The sequence below is a fragment of the Homo sapiens genome, chromosome 3, assembly GCF_000001405.40.
Source record: "Homo sapiens chromosome 3, GRCh38.p14 Primary Assembly".
Classification (NCBI taxonomy): Eukaryota; Metazoa; Chordata; class Mammalia; order Primates; family Hominidae; genus Homo; species Homo sapiens.
The window spans coordinates 196,358,044-196,378,519 of NC_000003.12; the positions used below are offsets into that span (position 1 = coordinate 196,358,044).

At 41.3% G+C, this 20,476-nt stretch overlaps 1 protein-coding gene across 2 annotated transcripts in view; it reads right to left on the reverse strand.

Annotated features, from left to right (window-relative positions):
- The window catches only part of UBXN7 (UBX domain protein 7), an 84,766-nt gene that overhangs the window by 10,382 nt on the left and 53,908 nt on the right, over window positions 1-20,476 (reverse strand). For both annotated transcript variants that reach the window (XM_011512671.3, NM_015562.2), the window contains 5 exons: window positions 13,853-13,999; window positions 11,378-11,468; window positions 9,985-10,112; window positions 4,251-4,644; window positions 3,801-3,880 (listed from right to left, as the gene is read on the reverse strand). In XM_011512671.3, the coding sequence (XP_011510973.1) occupies window positions 3,801-3,880; window positions 4,251-4,644; window positions 9,985-10,112; window positions 11,378-11,468; window positions 13,853-13,999 (840 nt within the window). The remainder of the gene's footprint in view (window positions 1-3,800; window positions 3,881-4,250; window positions 4,645-9,984; window positions 10,113-11,377; window positions 11,469-13,852; window positions 14,000-20,476) is intronic.

Below are 20,476 nucleotides of genomic sequence, written 5' to 3' on the forward strand. Positions count from 1 at the left end.
GAAGAAAAAAACAAAAACAACACAAACCAAAAACCACAGAAAGCTCATCAGCTGTGTTAGATGAAAATGCCCGCAGCGTCACCATGATGAACCACGTGCGAGCTGAGGAATAAACAAAAGCCACCAGTATGCAGAGAATGGTGTGAAGCAGAGAATCCCAAGAGAAAACCTACAGGCCCCAGAAGAGAAACATAGAGAAAAACAGACACAGTTCTTAAACACTTTGCAGTTCCAGCTGCTGGAAAACCACTATCCTCTTCAAATAACCCCAGTCGTCCTTTTCCAGAAGTAGTCATTTCAGTTGGGTTTCTATTCCATGCAGGCATGAAACAGAAAAATCTTCACTGGAACATACCTTACGTGGCTTACCTAATTTAATCTGGGAAGGAAATAAACTAATTAGAATTAAGATTCACAACCGGGTGCTCCCACCTGTAATCCCTGCACTTTGGGAGGCTGGGGAAGGAGGATGACTTGAGCTCAGGAGTTCAAGACCAGCCTGGGTAACATAGTGAGAACCCTTCTCTACAAAAAAGAATTTTAAAAAATTAGCTGGGTGTGGTGGCACACACCTGTAGTCCCAGCTACCTGGGAGGTTGAGGTGGGAGGCTCGCTTGAGCCCAGGAGGCAGAGGTTGCAGTGAGCTGAGATTGGGCCACTGCACTCCAGCCTGAGCGACAGAGCGACCCTGTCTCAAAACAACCAACCAACCAACAACAACAAGATGACTCACCACAGTTTGCAGTTAGAGATCAGACTAAACATCTAACACCTCTTTCTTTTTTTTTTTTTTTTTAAACAGAGACAGGGTCTCGCTTTGTTGCCCAGGCTGGTCTCAAACTCCTGGACTCAAGTGATCCTCCCACCTTGGCCTCCCAAAGTGCTGGGATTACAGGAGTGAGCCACTGCACCTGGCCTCCCACACCTATTTCAAAGAATTATCAAGCAAAGCTCACTGAACTTACTCCAATGAATTAGCTTCTCTGCTTCGAGAAAATGCTTCCAACGCCCTGTTTCATTGTGCTTCAAGTTACTGAAGGTCTGCGGCAACCTTGTGTCAAGTGCCTCTATTGGCTCCATTTTTCAAACAGCATGTGCTCACTGCCTGTCTCTGTGTCACCTTTTGGTAATGCTTGCAGTTCATTATTTTATCTATTATAATGAACTGTGAGCAGTTACCTTTGATGTTACTATTCTGCTTTTGGGCACCACAAACCACGCCCACACAAGACCGCAAACTTAATAAAGAAGTATGTTCTGACTGCTCCACCTAATGGGAGTTTTCCCATCTCTCTCCCTCTATTCAGGCCTCCTTATTCCCGGAGACATGACAGTATTGAAAGTAGGCCAATTAATAACCTACCAGTGTAGGCCTCTAAGTACCCAAGTGAAAGGAAGTGTCCATCCTCAAAATCAATCAATTGCTAAAAATGATGAAGCTTAGTGAGAAAGGCACGTGGAAAGCTGAGACAGACACAAAGCTAGGCCTCTGGCACCAAACAGCCAAGCTGTGAATGCAAGGAAAAGTTCTGGAAGGAAATTAAAAGTGCTACTCCAGTGAACACACAAATGATAACAAAGCAAAACAGGCCGGGAGCAGTGGCTCACACCTGCACTTTCAGAGGCTGAGGTGGGTGGATCACCTGAGGTCAGGAGTTCGAGACCAGCCTGGCCAACATGGTGAAACCCCATCTCCACTAAAAATACAAAAGTTAGCTGGGCGTGGTGGTGGGCGCCTGTAATCCCAGCTACTCGGGAGGCTGAGGCAAGGAGAACTGCTTGAACCCGGGAGGCGGAGGTTGCAGTGAGCTGAGATCGCACCATTGTACTCTAGCCTGGGTGACAGAGCAAGACTCTGTCTCAAAAAAAAAAAAAGGAAAGAAAGCAAAACAGCCTTACTGCTGTGCTGCTGAAAAGGAGAAAGTTTTAGTGGTCTGTACAGAAAAATCAAACCAGTCACACATTCCCTTAAGCCAAAGCCTAATCCAAAACAAGGTTCTAACTCTTTTCAATCCTATGAAGGCTAAGGGAGTTAAGGAAGCTACGAAAGAAAAGCTGGAAGCTAGCAGAGGTTGGTTCATGAGGTTGAAGGAAAGAAGCCATCTCCATAACATCAAAGTGCAAGGTGAAGCAGCAAGTGCTGATGCAGAAGGTGCAGAAACTTATCTAGAAGATGTAGTGAAGACAGTTCACGAAGGTAACAACACTAAATAACAGATTTAAGTTTGACAAAACAGCCTTCTATTGGAAGAAGATGCCATCAAGGACTTTCACAGCTAGAGAGAAGTCAGTGGCTGCACTCAAAGGTTCAAAAAGGCTGACTTTCTTGTTAGGGGGTAATGCAGCTGGTGACTTCCAGTTGAAGCCAATGCTCATTTAACATTCCAAAATCCCAGGTCCCTTAAAAATTATGTTAAATCTACTCTGTCTGTGTTCTGTAACTGCAACAACAAAACCTGGAAAGACAGCACATCAATTTACAGCATAACTTACTAAATATTTTAAGCCCACTGTTCAGACCTACTGCTCAGAAAAAAGATTCAACATATTACTGCTCATTGACAACGCACCTAGTCACGTAAGAGCTCTGACGAAAATGCAAATAAAAATGAATGCTGTTTCCAGTCTGCTAACCCAACATCCATTCTGCAGCCCATGGATCAAGGAGTCATTTCAACTTTTAAATCTTATTTAAGAAACACATTTTGGCCAGGCACGGAGCCAAATCTCAACACTTTGGGAGGCTGCGGTGAGAGGATTACTTGAGTCCAAGAGTTTGAGACAAGACCTGGCAACACAGCAAGAAACCATCTCTAAAAAAAAGAAAATTAATTGGGTGTGGTGATCTACTCAGGAGGGTGAGGCAGGAGGATCACTTGAGCCGGGGCGGGGAGTCAAGGTTACAGTGAGCTATGACCACTGCACACCAGCCTGGGCATAAATACAGATTCCTTTGATGAATCTGGGCAAAGTAAACTGAAAATCTTCTGGAAAGGATTCAGCAGTCTAAATACCATTAAGAACATTCACAACTCATAGGAAGTCAAAATATCAACATGAACAGGGCTTTGGAAGAGGTTGATTCCAACCCTCATGGATGACTTTGAGGGGTTTAAGAATTCACTGGAGGAAGTCACTGCAAGTGGGGTAAAAACTGCAAGAGAACTAGAATTAGAAGTGGAGGATGGCGATATGACTGAATTGCTGCAATCTCATGATCAAACATTAAAGGGAGGGGGGTTGCTTCTTATGGATGAGCAAAGAAAGTGATTTCTGGAGATGGAATCTACTTCTGCTGAAGATGCTTTTAACACTGTTGAAATGACAACAAAGGATTTAGAATATTGCATAAACTTGGTGGATAAAATTGCGGCAAATTCTGAGAAGACTGACTCCAGTTTTGAAAGAAGTTCTACTGTGGGTAAAATACTATCAAACGGCAGCACATGCTACAGAGAAATTTTTTGTCGAAGGAAGCAACTGATGCAGCAACTTCACTGCTGTCACATTTTCAGAAACTGCCACAGTACCCATCACCCCAATCAGTCAGTAGCCATCAATATCAAGACCCTCCACCAACAAAAAGATGACTCACTGAAGATTCAGGGGATCATTAGCACTTTTTAGCAAAAGCTTTTTTTAATTAAGTTATGTGCTTTTTTTTAGACATAAAGCTACTGCACACTTAATAGACTATGGAATAATGTAAACATAACTTTTATATGCACCAGGAAACCAAACAATTTGGGACTCGTCTTATTGCAGTGGTCGGAACTGAACCAAAGCAAGCCTGTACTTACTAGCAGTTTAGCTTGCTCTGGAAGAGTGATCTGTTCCCTTTTTCCATCTGGATACCGCAACATCAGCTGTGCTTTTGGTCCTAAAGGAAGGGTTTAAAAAAAAAAAAAAAACGGGATACAGGAGTTTAAGACAGAATATTAGTTTAAATAAATATGTAAATAAATACAGCCATTCAGCAATTACTCAAGTGTTTTGCTGGAGTGCAGTGGCGTGATCTCAGCTCACTGCAACCTCCGCCTCCCTGGTTCAAGCCACTCTCCTGCCTCAGCCTCCCAAGTAGCTGGGACTATAGGCACGTGCCACCACACCTGGCTAAGTTTTGTATTTTTAGTAGAGACAGGGTTTTGCCATGTTGGCGAGGCTGGTCTTGGAACTCCTAACCTCAGTGATCCACCACGCCCGGCCCCAATATCTAAGTTTGAAGTAAAGTATGTCTAAATGTAACTTACCATTTACATCTATCCCCTCCACTACTCCATCTGCTTTTTCAGGTGGCATCTCCAGTATCTCTGAATCCACAGCTGGCAATCCTTGGTGGTTTGTGGCTGTTCCAGGATCAGTTCTGACTGGTGGCTCAGTCAGCGGCCTTCTATTCTCCTCTTTTCTATGCCCCAAATCTTTGTGGGGAGACTTTCTGGACTTGGCAAGATTCTCTACCTCTTCTTCTTCATCAGAGCCACAAACGGATATGAACTCCTCACTGCCAGAAAAAAGTTCAGATTCAGATTCTTCATCTGAGCGGCTATCCTGTTTTGTCTGTGTTGAATCAAAATGTGTTTCTTGTAAGGAGGCTCTGATGGCAGCTTCTAGCTGGCTGTCTTCACTTGCATCTATAAGGCTCTCCTGTGAGATGGAGTCATAAAACACAGGAAAAAGAACAAGTTAAACCAAAAAACAAGTCAAACGGCATAAGAAATATAATAGCTTGCCATTCATTATTATGTTCTGCTGACTGTATCCCTTCTACTTTAAGAGCAAGGACTGTGTCTTACACAGCCAAATTGGAATGGAGATATATATATGTGTGTGTATATACACACACACACGTTTTTGTTGTTTTGTTTTGTTTTGTTTTTGAGATGGAGTCTCACTCTTGTTGCCCAGGCTGGAGTGCAGTGGCACGAACTCGGCTCACTGCAACCTCAGCCTTCCCAGGTTCAAGCGATTCTCCTGCCTCAGCCTCCCAAGTAGCTGGGATTACAAGCGCCCGCCACCACGCCCAGCTAATTTTTATTTATTTATTTTTTTGTATTTTTAATAGAGATGGGGTTTCACCACATTGGCCAGGCTGGTCTCAAACTCCTGACCTCGGCCTCCCAAAGTGCTGGGATTACAGGCGTGAGACACCGCACCTGGCACATACATACATACATACATACATACATACATACATACATACATACATAAATATATATATACACATATTTTTTTTTCTTTCTTTTTTTAAGAGACAGGGTCTAAGTTCCCCAGGCTGGTCTTGCACTTCTGGATTCAAGTAAGCATACGCATTTTTTTAAATATCAAAATGAAGGCCAGGCCGGGTGGCTCATGCCTGTAATCCCAGCACTTTGGGAGGCCCAGGTGGGTGGATCAAGAGGTCAAAAGATCGAGACCATCCTGGCCAACATGGTGAAACCCCGCCTCTACTAAAAATGATTAAGCTTAGTGAGAAAGGCATGTGGAAAGCTGAGACAGACACAAAGCTAGGCCTCTTGCACCAAACAGCCAAGCTATGAATGCAAGGAAAAGTTCTTGAAGGAAATTAAAAGTGCTACTCCAGTGAACACACAAATGATAACAAAGCAAAACAGGCCAGGCACAGTGGCTCACACCTGCACTTTGGGAGGCTTGAGGCGGGCAGATCACCTGAGGTCAGGAGTTCGAGACCAGCCTGGCCAACATGGCGAAACCCCATCTCCACTAAAAATGCAAACATCAGCTGGGCATGGTGGTGCGCGCCTGTAGTCGCAGCTACTCAGGAGGCTGAGGCAGGAAAATCACTTGAACCCGGGAGGCAGAAGTTGCCAGAGATTGCGCCACTGCACCCCAGCCTGGTGACAGAGCGAGACTCCATCTCAAAAAAAAAAAAAAATCAAAACGAACAAAATCAAGAAAAGTTTATCTATTACCTGCCTAGAGAAAGACAAGAATTAAAAGTTTTAACTATAAAGTCAAAACACCATTCTTTAAAATGACTAAAACATAGAGACAAATGTTTACTTTGTTCACCACTGCATTCTTCAACTAGTAATTCCATTAATTACAATGAAGGTTTTCATTATGATAACAAGAAATGCAAACTTCTACAGTTTTTCCCTTGGTAAAGTTCTAATGCCACAGATTTTACTAAACTTAATGAATCACAAAATACGTTGTTTGAGTGGAACTTACTTAGCTCCTGACTCAAACATACTATAGAGGAAAGAAATCGTAAGATAATCTAAAATTGAACACTGGATATTTCAGGATATTACAGAATTACTGCTCATTTTTAAGGGTATAATAATGACATTGTGATAGTATTTTTAAAAATAAAAAAGGCTTTATCTTTTAAATATATATGCCAGAGTATTAATTAATGAAACAATGAATTCTGAGATTAGCTTCAAAATAATTCAGATGTGATGGGATACAGAGGAAAGAAGACTGGCCATCTGCTGATAATTACCGAAATTAGCTAACAAAGAGGCTCAATAAACTACTTCAACTTTTGAATATGCTTAAAATTTTCCATAATAAATAGGTAAAAAAAAAAAGTGTGAGTTGCTAATAAAAAACTAAAGAAACCACATTTTGGCTTTTACTATCAGGCAATCATGTAGCAAAAAATTAAAGGGAAAAACATTTTTTTGCTGGTTGTTTTTTTTTTTTGAGAGAGGTTCTACTCTGTCACCCAGGCTGAAGTGCAGTGGCACAATCTCAGCTCACTACTATCTCCACCTGCCAGGCTCAAGCAATCCTCCCACCTCAGCCTCCCAAGTAGCTGGGATTACAGGCACACACCACCACACCCGGCCAAAGGAAAATTTTAAAGTAAACTTCAGGCGAACTTACCACCCCTAAAAAGCAAGTAGAGGTGTCTATGTGACATGCAATGGCTTAGGTGGATTGTAAATTTATAGCAATGACATTGCACATATAGCATGTAGCTCGATTTTAAAAATTGTGGCCATGGCAGACACTGTCAGGCTCCTATTGAATTTCATTCTCCTCTGATTTCCTTACTTATATAACCCTATTTAAGTTTATAAAACGTGTTCAACTAAAAAATTCATTTTACTAATTTCTCTTGTAGCTAGAAAATAGTATTGAGCAATAGCAATTCTTATCGAAAAATTATAGAATTAAATGCTTATATTAGAAGAGAGAAAGGTATCAAATTAATGACCTAAGCTTCCCCACCTTAAAAAAAAAAAAAAAAAGAGTATACATCCAGGAAAAGAAAATAAAATTAAGCTCAAAGAAAACACAAATTAATAAATGACCTAGAAAGCAAATACAATAGAGAAAAACAAAAAAAACCCACCAAAATCCCAAGAGCAGTTTTTTGTTTTGTTTTGTTTTTTGTTTCTTAAGAGACAGAGTCTTACTGTTGCCCAAAGACTGGAGTGCAGTGACTACTCACAGGTATGATCATAGCACACTACATTCCTGAACTCCTGGGCTCAAGCAATATTCCTGCCAAGCAGATGGGACTATAGGCACATGCCACACCCCAGCTGGTTCCGTAAGATCAATAAAACTACTAAGCCTCTGGCCAGACAGTCGGGGGAAAAAAGGGAAGCCACAAATTCCCAAAAACAGAATTAAGAGAGGGGACAACTACAATCTCTACATTCATTCATGGCATCACGAGGGACTATAATGAACTCTGACAATATAGTAAAATGAACAAATCCCTAGAAAGATACAACTTGCTAAAGCTTATCCAAGAAGAAACAGATACCAAGTAGTCACGTATCTACCGATAAGATTGAATTTGTAGTTTAAAATTTTCCACCAAAAAAAAACTCTAGGCCCATGTAGCTTCACTGGTAAATGTCATCAAACATTAAGGAAGAAATAACAACAATTCTACAGACACTACTGCAGAAAACAGAAGAGGAAGAAATACTTCTCAATTCATTGTGAGGTCAGCATTAACATGTTACCAAAAGCAGAAAACGACATTATAAAGCATTACATGGAAGAAAGGAAACAACAACAACAAAATGCTCTCAAAAAAACTATAAATCAAGCAGGAGAACTGCTTGAGGCCAGGAGTTCGAGACCATCCTGGCCAACAAGATTTCTATACTATCCCTTAGGGCTTTTCCTTAAATAGGCACTTTATTATAGGTGATAACTGAAGGAAGTGTTCCTCACATCTTCTAAAACTATTTTTAGGCTGGGCATGGTATGGTGGTTCATGCTTATAATCCCAGCACTTCGGGAGGCCAAGGGAGGAGAATTGCTTGAGCTTAGGAGTTTGAGATCAGGCTGAGTAACATATTGAGACCCTGCCTCCACAAAAAATAAAAAATTAGCCAGGCATGATGGTGCACACCTGTAGTCCTAGCTACTCAGGAGGCTGAGGCAAGAAGATTGACTGAGCCCAGGAGTTCAAGGCTAGCAAGTTTTTTTTTTTTTTAAAGTTCTCTCAAGGCTGCAAAGACTACAGTGAGTTAATATCATGCCACTGCAGTCCAGCCTGGGCAACAGTGTGAGACCACATCTCAAAAAATACAATACAATACAATAAATACAATACAATACAATAAAAATGTTGCTAGGTGTGGTGCTCACACCCAGAATCCCAACATTTTGGGAGGCTGAGGCGGGAGGATTGCTTGAGGCCAGTTTGAGACCAGCCTAGACAACATACGGAGGCCTCCGTCTCTACAAAACTTTAACAGCTTAGCTGGCATGGTGATGCACATCTGTGGTCCCAGCTACTTAGGAGGCTGAGGTGGAAGGATCGCTTGAGCCCAAGAGGTGGAGGCTGTAGCGAGCCATGATCACACCACTGCACTGCAGCCTGAGAAATGGAACAAGATCCTGCCCAAAGAAAAAAACAGGACGGGCGCGTTAGCTCACGCCTGTAATCCCAGCACTTTGGGAGGCCGAGAAGGGCGGATCACTTGAAGTCAGCAGTTTGAAACCAGCCTGCCCAACAAGGCGAAACCCCATCTCTACTAAAACTACAAAAATTAGCCAGATGCAGTGGTGTACGTCTGTAATCCCAGCTACTTGGGAGGCCAAGGCAGGAGAATCGCTTGAACCCAGGAGGCGAAGGTTGCAGTGAGCCAAGATCACACCACTGCCCTCTAGCCCTAGCAACAGAACAAGACTCTGGCTCAAAAAAAGGAAAAAAAAAAAACCAACAAAACAAAACTATTTTTATCCCTACTGCTATCAAAGCCAAACAGCCATGAAAACCAATGTGAGATTGCTGTATCTTTGCAAGTTCAGTCTCTTATTTGCAACCAATCTTGATACCAATTATCAAACATGTCTACCTAGTAATAGTATATTCTAGAAATTAAGTATAGAAGTAAATTCTAGGAGGGCCAGAGAGCCAGGCCCTAAAGCTATATTAACCAATAAAAATGCTCAACTATACCATGACAGTTGTTTCAGCAAAAACAAAAAACACCACTTCCAGCCGGCTGTGGTGGCATGTACCTGTAGTCCTAGCTATTCGGGCAGTTGAGGTGAGAAGGCTGCTTCAGCCCAGGAGTTCTAGGACAGTCTGGGCAAAACAGCAAGATCCCACTCCAAAACAAAAAACAAAACACACAAAAAAACCAACCACTTTCACTGCTATTTAGACCTGGATATCAGAAGCCCTCCCAGAGCTGCCCCTCAGGAAGTAGACACCTTTACCACTAGGCTTGCCAGGTCAGTCCTCCTGCCCAACCTATTCACATTGCTTCCTTCTAAATCCAGATCCTGGGGCATCTGCCTGCACTCTAGCTGCAAGACAGACTGGCAGGAGTATGAGTATCATGATTTCACCAAGAAGATGGAACTCTCATGTGGGAAATTATCAAAATATAAGGAGGATATCTAAGATGCTATAGCCACAGTGATAGTTGTCCACTAGTTAGATTATCTTTACCATCTTAACATCGAACATTTTATATAAGATGCTTATGACCAATTACATTTATTTTCCCATCACCACCTCCTAATTATACTTACTGAACGGGCACATTTTTTGGGGGGACTGCTAGAAAGTCCATCCAGTTGTCCATGTTCACCCAGAAATCCCGTCACTTGGTCCAAGAAAGAAGATACATCTAACTGGTGCCATTCTACTAGCTTCTGACCTAAGGATTAAAAACCAAGATCTATAAATAAATATAATATCTAGAATCCTTCTGAACATTCTCCAGGATCTATAAATATAATACCTAGAATCCTTCTGAACACTCTCATTAAGTATCTCTTTCAGCATATGCATAGATTAAAAACCTGGATCTATAAAGGTAATATCTAGAATCTTTCTGAACATTCTTATTAAGTATCTCTTTCAGCATATGCATAGATTAAAAACCAGGATCTATAAAGGTAATATCTAGAATCTTTCTGAACATTCTCATTATCTCTTTCAGCATATGCATACATTAAAAACCAGGATCTGTAAATATAATATCTAGGATCTTTCTGAACATTCTCATTAAGTATCTCTTTCAGCACATGCATAAAGTGTACTGTAAAGACATATCCTCTCCACCAGCTTATGCTACATAGTGTCTTCATAACCTAGAAGTCACATCAATTATACTCACCTAACAGATTCCCACCCGTAATGATAGGGCAACTATCTTATCTGCTGCTATCACTTACTGCCATTTAGGAAGAAGAGATTCAGACAAAGCAATATCTATATAAAACACCATCAATTAATAAAACCAGCTCCACCCTCTGCTTCTCAGGTGGGATTACAACTAGTATCTGGGCAATCTTAATATTTTAATGATAAAAAAAACTTTTGTCTTGTTTTGTTTTTTTGAGATGGAGTCTCACTCTGTTGCCCAGGCTGGAGTGCAGTGGCGCGATCTCGGCTCACTGCAACCTCCACCTCCCGGGTTCAGGCCATTCTCCTGCCTCAGCCTCCCAAGCAGCTGGGACTACAGGTGCCCGCCACCATGCCCGGCTAATTTTTTTTGTATTTTTAGTAGAGATGGGGTTTCACCGTGTTAGCCAGGATGGTCTGGATCGCCTGACCTCATGATCCGCCCACCTCGGCCTCCCAAAGTGCTGGGATTACAGGCATGAGCCACCACGCCCAGCTGGTAAAAAAACTTTTAAAAAATCCCTTAAAAAAGGTAAGATGAACATATCAGTTATTCTTCAAAAGAACAGAACTGCACAAACATAAAATACTACCATCTCCCAATGTTGCCAGAAAAAGATGTCCTAAATACATACATCAATAGATGTTTAAATAATTATAAAGGGAAAAAAACGAAACCTTCACCTAAATTACTGCAATTCTGAAAACAGATCCAGTCAAATATTAAAGATCAATCATTTAGGTAACTGAAAGACAAGTAATAGGTTAAAAGCTGCGTGCTGATATAAATCTTACCTGTCCGTGGGTCCAATATGGAAACATAGGGGAAATCCCCTAACTTATAAAACTGTATGTATCTCTGACCTTCCTCACTGTCATGATAAACCTGTTAAATCATTGATATAAAAAAAAAAGTCAGCCTCTAAGAAAAGAACCAACTATAACCTTCTTATACACCAACATCAATTAGCTCTCCAAATATACCTCCGGCCTATGTATTAAGATCTCACTCCTACACTAAAAAGAAAATAAATCTGGTTTGAACTCCTTCAACTTCCCACTTCCAGCACTCTCTGGAAATTTACCATAAACATATTGACCCATTCCTCCTCCTTTCCCAGTTCAGATGAGGTATTATTCTTCCTGCTCAAGTTATCTGTCAACTATGTCATTCATAACTCTCAACCATATACATCTTAATAAATCACAATATATTAAGATTATGGGCCAGGCATGGTGGCTCACGCCTGTAATCCCAGCACTTTAGGAGGCCGAGGCGAGTGGATCACAAGGTCAGGAGATTGAGACCATCCTGGCCAACATGGTGAAACCCCGTCTCTACTAAAATACAAAAATTAGCCGGGCCTGGTGACAGGCGCTTGTAGTCCCAGCTACTCGGGAGACTGAAGCAGGGGAATCGCTTGAACCCGGGAGGCAGAGACTGCAGTGAGCTGAGATCGTGCCACTGCACTCCTGCCCAGCGACAATGCAAGACTTGTCTCAAAAAAAAAAAAAAAAAAAAAAGATTATGGCTCCACATGGTGGCTCGCACCTATAACCCTAGCACTTTGTAGGGCAGAGGCAGAGGACAGCTTGAGGCCAGGAGTTTGAGACCAGCCTGGGCATCTCCACGAGAAGTTTTTTTGTTTTTTTTTGTTTGTTTGTTTGTTTTTAAATTAGCCAGGTTTAATGGTGTGCACCTATAGTCCCAGCAACTCAGGAGACTGAGGTGGGAAGATCCCTTGAGCCTATAGGGGTTAGAGCCTGCAGTGAGCTATGACTGCACCACTGTGTTCCGGCCTGGGTGACAGAGCAAGACCCTGTCCATTTATTTAAAAAAAAAAAGAAAAAAGAAAAGAAAAGAAAGAAAGAAAAAAAGATTATAAGCTCAAGAGTCCAGCACAGTGCTAAGCAAAGAGCTGCTCGATCAATATTTGTTGAATAAAATACAAGGAATTTTACCATTAAAGTTACATTAAATTTAGGGGCCTGTAAAATATAAACAGGCAAATTAATAACATTAATAGCATATCTTACAGTAGGGGAAAAAATTAAGCTCCTTCATAAGTTTTTATTTTCTATAACTTTTCACAAAATAAAAAATAAAAAAATTGAGCCGGCACGGTGATTCATGCCTATAATCCCAGCACTTTGGGAAGCCAAGGGAAGCAGATGGCTTGGGCCCAGGAGTTCGAGACGAGCCTGGGCAATATGGCAGGACCCCATCTCTACAAAAAAAAAAAAAAAAAAAAAATTATATGGGCATAGTGGTGCATGTTTGTGGTCCCAACTACTCAAGAAACTGAGGTGGAAGGATCATTTGAGCCCAGGAGGTCAAGGCTGAGCCATGTTCATGCCACTGCATTGCAGCCTGGGTGACAGAGCAAAACCCTGTCTCACAGTGGGGGAAAAATGATACAAGGTCTGTAACCTTATCTCATTAGCTGGGAAGACTAAAGTGACATGTCTAAGAACACAGAGTTAAAAAGTATCAAACTCAAGCTAAAATCTAAGTCTTAGCCAAATGCTTCCAATTACCTCAAGATCTTCTATACCTGCACTGTCTAATACAGCAACCACTACCCACAAGTGGCTACTGAAGCACCTGAAATCTTGCTACTCCAAATGGAGAAGGGGTGTAAGTATAAAATACAAACCATATCTTGAAGACTCAACACCAAATAAATGCAGATCATCTCATTATTTTTGTATTAGTTATATAGATATATTGATTTAACCAAATACATTATTACAGTTAATTTCATCTATTTTGATTAATCTTTTTTAATGTGGCTACTGGAAAAATTTAAATTATGTGTACAGCTTACAATATATTTCTACTGAACAGTACAGTTTGTTTGTTTTGTTTTGTTTGAGATGGAGTCTAGCTCTATTGTTCAGGCTGGAGTGTAATGGTGTGATCTTGGCTCACTGCAGTCTCCGCTACCCGGGTTCAAGTGATTCTCCTGCCTCAGCCTCCCGAGTAGCTGGGATTACAGGTGCCTGCTGCCACACCTGGCTGATTTTTTGTATTTTTAGGAGAGACAGGGTTTCACCATGTTGGCCAGGCTGGTCTCAAACTCCTGACCTCAGGTGATCCGCCGGCCTCAGCCTCCCAAAGTGCTGGGATTATAGGCGTGAGCTACTGCCCCCAGCCGGCTTTACCTTTTTTTAAATGTCTTAATTCATTATAACCCAATTCCTTTCCCTCAACAACCCACACTACAAAAGTAAAATTCTACAAAACTTCTGATTAACTCTCCTTCTCACCTGCCAGAAAATGAAATGTTCCCGGATAATATTCTTCACAGCTTCGTTGCTCCACACATCGCGGTTGAGGCACTGACATGCAAAGTCTTGAACATTTTGAATGTTTATCATCAGCCACTTATTTTGCATCTGGCCACACTCTTTGGCCTGCAAGAGTAAAGTTACACATTTGTTAGAAATAATTTCTACTTAGTGACAGATGTTTCCGTAGTTGTTCAGAGGTTGTTGTCTTTCATTAAAAATACTAAGTTTTTGCCAGATACGACATCTAGAGTTTTCAGCATTTATACATTCTATATATTTACTTCGCATATGCATTTATAGCTATACTGTCCATTTCAAGCACTGCTCAAATTTAAATGAACTCATTTCTCTTTTATCCAGTTATTTGTTATAATAGCTGATTCTCTCTCTCTCTCTCTCTCTCTCTCCTTTCTTTCTTTCTTTCTTTTTTTTTTTTTTTTGAGACAGAGTCTAACTCTATTGCCCAGGCTAGAGTACAGTGGGGCAGTCTCGGCTCACTGCAACCTCCACCTCCTGAGTTCAAGTGATTCTCCCGCCGCAGCCTCCCAAGTAGTTGGGATTAAAGGCGTGCCCCAACACGCCTGGCTGATTTTTGTATTTTTAGTAGAGATGGGGTATCAACATGTTGGCCAGGCTGGTCTCGAACTTCTGACCTCAAATGACCCGTCCACCTTGGCCTCCCAAAGTGCTGGAATTACAGGTGTGACTCATCATGACCGGTAATGGCTGAATTTTTAATGTATGTTTAAACATCTTTACCTGAAAAGGATTCAACAAACTTAAGATCAACAAGTCACGTAATTTTATTCTCTTGCAACCTCCATCAACAATTTTTTTTTTTTTTGAGACGAGCTTTGCTCTTGTTGCCTAAGTCGGAGAACAATGGCACGATCTCGGCTCACTACAACCTCCACCTACTAGGTTCAAGTGATTCTTCTGCCTTAGCCTACCGAGTAGCTGGGATTACAGGTGTGTGCCACCATGCCTGACTAATTTTTTATATATTTTTAGTAAAGAGACGGGGTTTCACCATGTTGGCCAGGCTGGTCTCAAACTCCTGACCTCAGGTGACGCACCCATCTCAGCCTCCCAAAGTGCTGGGATTATAGGCGTGAGCCACCGCGCCCAGCCAATTATACTTCTTTTTAATGAATGCAATTGGTGTGTATATTTTACTTTGTTTTCTTCAACATCATTTCTGGAACATTTTTAAACATCATATTAATCTCAGTTATTAGGCATATATGCTGTTTTGGAGAATCACCCTAAACATTTTAGTAAAAACTGCTGAGAGTTTTTTCTCTTAAGAGTTGTCTTCCTAGGAGTAGATTCCAAAAATTGGGATTACAAGGTCAAAGAATGTTTGAGAATGATCCCCAAACAACTCTACGATTCGTACAACAGATATCGATACATCAATCGTTAGTGCGTACTTTTTGCCTGTCAGTCCCTTGTCAGCATAAAGACCCATGAAATGCTGCTGAGTGGAAAACAATGGCAGAAAAGCAAATAAGCAAATGCTGCCTCAAATCTTTGCCTAGGAAAGAACAGTGACACGAAACCACAGTTTTGGAATAAATTTATCCTAGAACAGTATTCTTTTCCAAATCAGTGTGACATGGGAAAATCTTAAGAATCAATGAATTTGGTGTAATAACAATCCAAGAACATACTGGACATCATTTTGTGGGTACTGAAAAATGTGAGACTGAGAATATCTTCTGTTTTAAGAAGGTCTACATCATCTCACAAATAGCTTTTTTTTTGTATGAATCCCCCAGAATAAATTATTTTCTTTTTTTGTTGTTTATATTTTTTGTAGAGACAGGGGTTTCACTATGTTAGCCAGGCTGGTTTGGAACACCTAGCCTCAAATGATCCTCCTGCCCTGGCCTCCAAAAGTCTTGGGATTACAGGTGTCAGTCACCCCACTCAGCCCCAGAATAAATTATCTTCTAATATTTGCTTACTGATTCCATGGGTGAAAACCCAAGGTCTAAAAAGAAATATCCTCATATTGAGCCAGGAAGCCGCATTTAACTGGTCAAAGGCTTATTTTAAAATATACAAATATAATAATTCCTTGCTTATAGGAAGTAATATTTCCATTTACTTCCTTATAGGACAAAGATTTAAAAAGTGAATGATAAATGAATAATTAAGCTGCTTTAACTACAGAAACAGTATTTGAAAATAAACGGAAAAATGACCATACGTTCTAGAGATAGACTAGAGCGCACATATTCCTACAGCAGGGTAAATTTACATAAGTCTGCCCCAAAAACAATGACAAGAAAAAAATGTACAAAACTGAAAATGAATAAAAGTCCAGAGTTTAAAATGGAAGAGTCACTTTTTTTTTTCGCTTTTAAAAATTTGTTTACTCACATTCATGCTTTCATTATCTCAGATTTATTCATTCAACAAATACTGAGTACCTATCATGTTTCAGGTACAGTTATAGATATTAAAGTAATAGCAGTTCTAAAATATAAAAATCTTTGCCTTTGTGAAGCTTCCAATGGGGGAGAAACCTAATACTAGCAAAAGAAACTTGGAAATGATACTAACCACATTGAAGATATTGTTAAAAAATTGTTACTGCTAAAAGGAAGGGTGCAAAGACACAATTTTCAAACAAAACAACAATATTGGGAGGGAATAAAAGAGTCTTGAATAGGCCAGGTGCAGTGGCTCACACCTGCAATCCCAGCACTTTGGGAGGCCGAGGTGGGTGGATCACCTGAGGTCAGGAGTTCAAGACCAGCCTGGTCAACATGGTGAAACCCCATCTCTACTAAAAACACAAAATTAGCCAGGCATGGTGGTGGGCACCTGTAATCCCAGCTACTCAGGAGACTGAGGCAGAATTGCTTGAACCTGGGTGGCAGAGGTTGCAGTGAGCCAAGATCGTGCCATTGCACTCCAGCCTGGGCAACAGAGTGAGGGGAGGGGAGGGGAGGGGAGGGGGAGGGGAGGGGGGGAGGGGGAGGGGGAGGGGGAGGGGAAGGGAAGAAGGAAGGAAGGAAAGAAAGAAAGAAAAAAAGGAAGGAGGGAAGGAAGGAAGGGAGGGAGGGAGGGAGGGAGGAAGGAAGGAAGGAAGGAAGGAAGGAAGGAAGGAAGGGAAAGGAAAGGAAAAAGGAGAGGAAGAAAGAAGAGTCTTGAATAAGTCTAGAGATCTCATGTACAACATGAGGACTATACTTAATAATATCGTATTATACATTGAAAATGTGCTGAGAGCAGATTATTAGGTGCTCTTACCACACACACACACACACACACACACACACACACACACACACACGTAAAAAGACAATTATGGAAGGTAAGGACAGGTTAATTTGCTTGACTGTAGTAATCATTTTACTATGTATATCCAATCTTCATGTTATACATCTTAAATATGTACAGTAGTCTGGAGCAGTGGCTCACACCTATAATCCCACTGCCTTGGGAGGCCAAGACAGGAGGATTGCTTAAGGCAAGGAGTTCGAGACCACCCTGGGCAACACAGCAAGACCCCATCTCTAAAAAGATTTAAAATAATTGAATATATGCAATTTAAAAAGAGAGAGTCTTAAAAATAATCTAAGTATACCAATTATGTGAATCAAGGACTGGAGGTGAGAGTGGGCCATGAGAAAAATAATCTCCTCATGGAAGATTATCATTGAAGAAGATTACTGGAATCCTTGGAATCTATTAGGTTGTTCTGAATCAACATTTCAAAGCCATTATAATGGAGACCCCAGAGTAAAACAGCGGGAGACTAACGTCTGTCCCAGTACCAGCCAGATCAGGAAGGCATGATAAAAAAGGATTTAGGCCTGGCATGGTGGCTCATGCCTGTAATCCCAGCACTTTGGGAGGCCGATGTGGGCTGATCATTTGAGCCCAAGAGTTCAAGACCAGCCTGGTCAACATGGCGAAACCCCATCTCTACTAACGATACTAAAATTAGACGAGCGTGGTGGCGCATGCCTGTAATCCCATCTACTTGGGTAGCTGAGGTACAAGTATTGCTTGAATCTGGGAGGCAGAGGTTGCAGTGAGCTGGGATCATGCCACTGCACTCCAGCCTAGGCAACAGGGCAAGACTGCCTCAAAAAAAGAAAGAAAAAGAAAATGAAGGATTTGAACAAATTTAATATGTTTCAGTAAGTATATATGCATAAAGTCGAGAAGAAAATATATTAAAATATACACAGTACTTTTTTATGGAAATGGAAATTACAATTTTATTTTTCCTTGTTCATTTTCTAAATTTCAATGATTTGTCTAATTTGAATAAAACTAAATGTAAACAATATAAAGTTTAATCAGAAAAATGTTATATATTGCCAGGGGCAGTGGCTCTTGCCTGTAATCACAGCACTTTGGGAGGCCGAGGTGGGTGGATCACCTGAGGTCAGGAGTTCGAGACCAGCTTGACCAATATGGTGGTGAAACCTCGTCTCTACTAAAATTTAAAAAATTAGCCAGGCGTGGTGGTGTGTACCTATAGTCCCAGCTACTCGGGAGGGTGAGACAGGAGAATCGCTTGAACCCAGGAGGCGGAGGTTGCAGTGAGCTGAGATCGCGCCACTGCACTCTGGCCTGGGCGACAGAGCGAGACTCTGTCTCAAAAAAAAAAAAAAAAAAAAAAAGAAAAGAAAAGAAAAAGGAAAAATTAGTTACTAACTAGGCTCTTCTTCACATTTTCGGCTACATATTTTCACTTGCATTTATACTAAATACTTATGAAATTAACAAAATATTCTTAGTAATTAGAGCTAGGTGCATGTGTAATGGGATACCAATTTAAAATGTGGGTTTTTTTTCCTCATGAAATAAGAAATATTGGCCGGGTCCAGTGGCTCACACTGGTAATCTCAGAACTCTGGGAGGCCAAGGCTGGTTAATCACTGGAGCTCAGGAGTTCAAGACCAACCTGGGCAACGTGGCAAAACCTCATCTCTACAAAAAATACAAAATTTAGCCAGGCATGGTGGCACACGCCCATAATCCAGGCTACCTGGGGGACTAAGTTGGGCAGATCACTTGAACCCAGGAAGTTGGGGCTGCAGTGAGCCGAGATCGTGCCACTGCACTCCAGCCTGGGTGACAGAGTGAGACTCTGTCTCAAAAAAAAAAAAAAAAAGGAAGAAATATTACCGAAATTGTTCTGATTCTTTCTGTACAATATTCCTTCTGGCATAATCATGATTTCATGAAGGCTAATTAAACTGCTTTAGACCCCGTGGACACACAACAGTCAAGAAAATGAAGTCCCTGTGTTCATACAGCTTACAGCATGGTGGGGAAAGAGGAAAACGTAGGAAACATTCCCTTGCCCAGGTCAGACCATTTGGCCTCAGTGCTCTGCTCACTCAGCTGGTCTTCTTGACGGTACCAGCTCTTTCCAACATCAGTATGCTCACACTGTATTTTCCCTCAGACCTCCCCATCGTTCGCATTCCCTCGCTTCACTAAGGTTTCTATTCATATCTCATCCTTTCAGAAATCTTCCCTAATCTTCCTAATACAGTCCTTTCTCTTCACAATTATAAACATATGTGGAACCTACGAAATCAATCTGGCTTTCAATTTGGCTGTAAGAAGAAACTGAATTTGGCAACACGGACACATCTACTTGCAAAGGACACTAGAAATTTCCAGATGCTTAACTCAATTCAGACCACACACATCAAATGGCCCTGAACAAAATACAGCCCCCCTCTCTCCTTCCCTTATTGTATTTTATTCTCCTTTTTTTTTCTTTTGAGACAGGGTCTCACTGTGTTGCTCAGGGTGGAGGGCAATGGCACCACCACAGCTCACTGCAGCCTCAACCTCCTGGGCTCAAGCGATCCTCCTACCCCAGCCTCCTGAGTAGCTGCTGGGGACCACAGGTGTGCACCACCACGTCCAGCTAATTTTTTCGACTTTTTGTAGAGACAGGGTTCCACCATATTGCCCAGGCTGGTCTCGAACTCCTGGGCTCAAGTGATCTACTCCCTTCAGCCTCCCACCAAAGTGCTGGGATTACAGGCATGAGCCACTGCATCCAGCTACATTTTATTCTTTCTCCAAGCAACTACTATAACTTGAAATGAATGTCACACTCTCTCTCTCCATCAAAGACAAACATATGTATTATATTCACTGTTATTATATATATGTGTTTGTGTGTGTTTGTTTTACGTTATTTGTTTATAGTCTGTTTCTCCTACTAGATTATAAACGCTACAATGGCAAGGATTTTATATAATTTACCACTATCTCCCTGTGGCAGAAACTGCTTATAGGTACCAAATAACCCATTCTCCCCTTGTCCCTCTTACTTATAGAACCTCCAGTTTTTAACTAAGCATCTGGATTTCCTAGTGTCCCTTGCAAATGGGTGTAGCCATGCTGCCAAGTTATAGTAGATGGAATGTAGACAGAAGTGCTGGGTACAACTTCTAGGTTGTTCCCTTCAAGGGAAATTTGTACCCTTATCAGCTCCTCCCTCTTCCATGCTGTTTATTTTTTTTTAAGTGAAAGCAAGTTTATTAAGAAAGTAAAGGAATAAAGTATGGCTATTCCATAGGCAGAGCAGCCCAAGGGCTGCTGGTT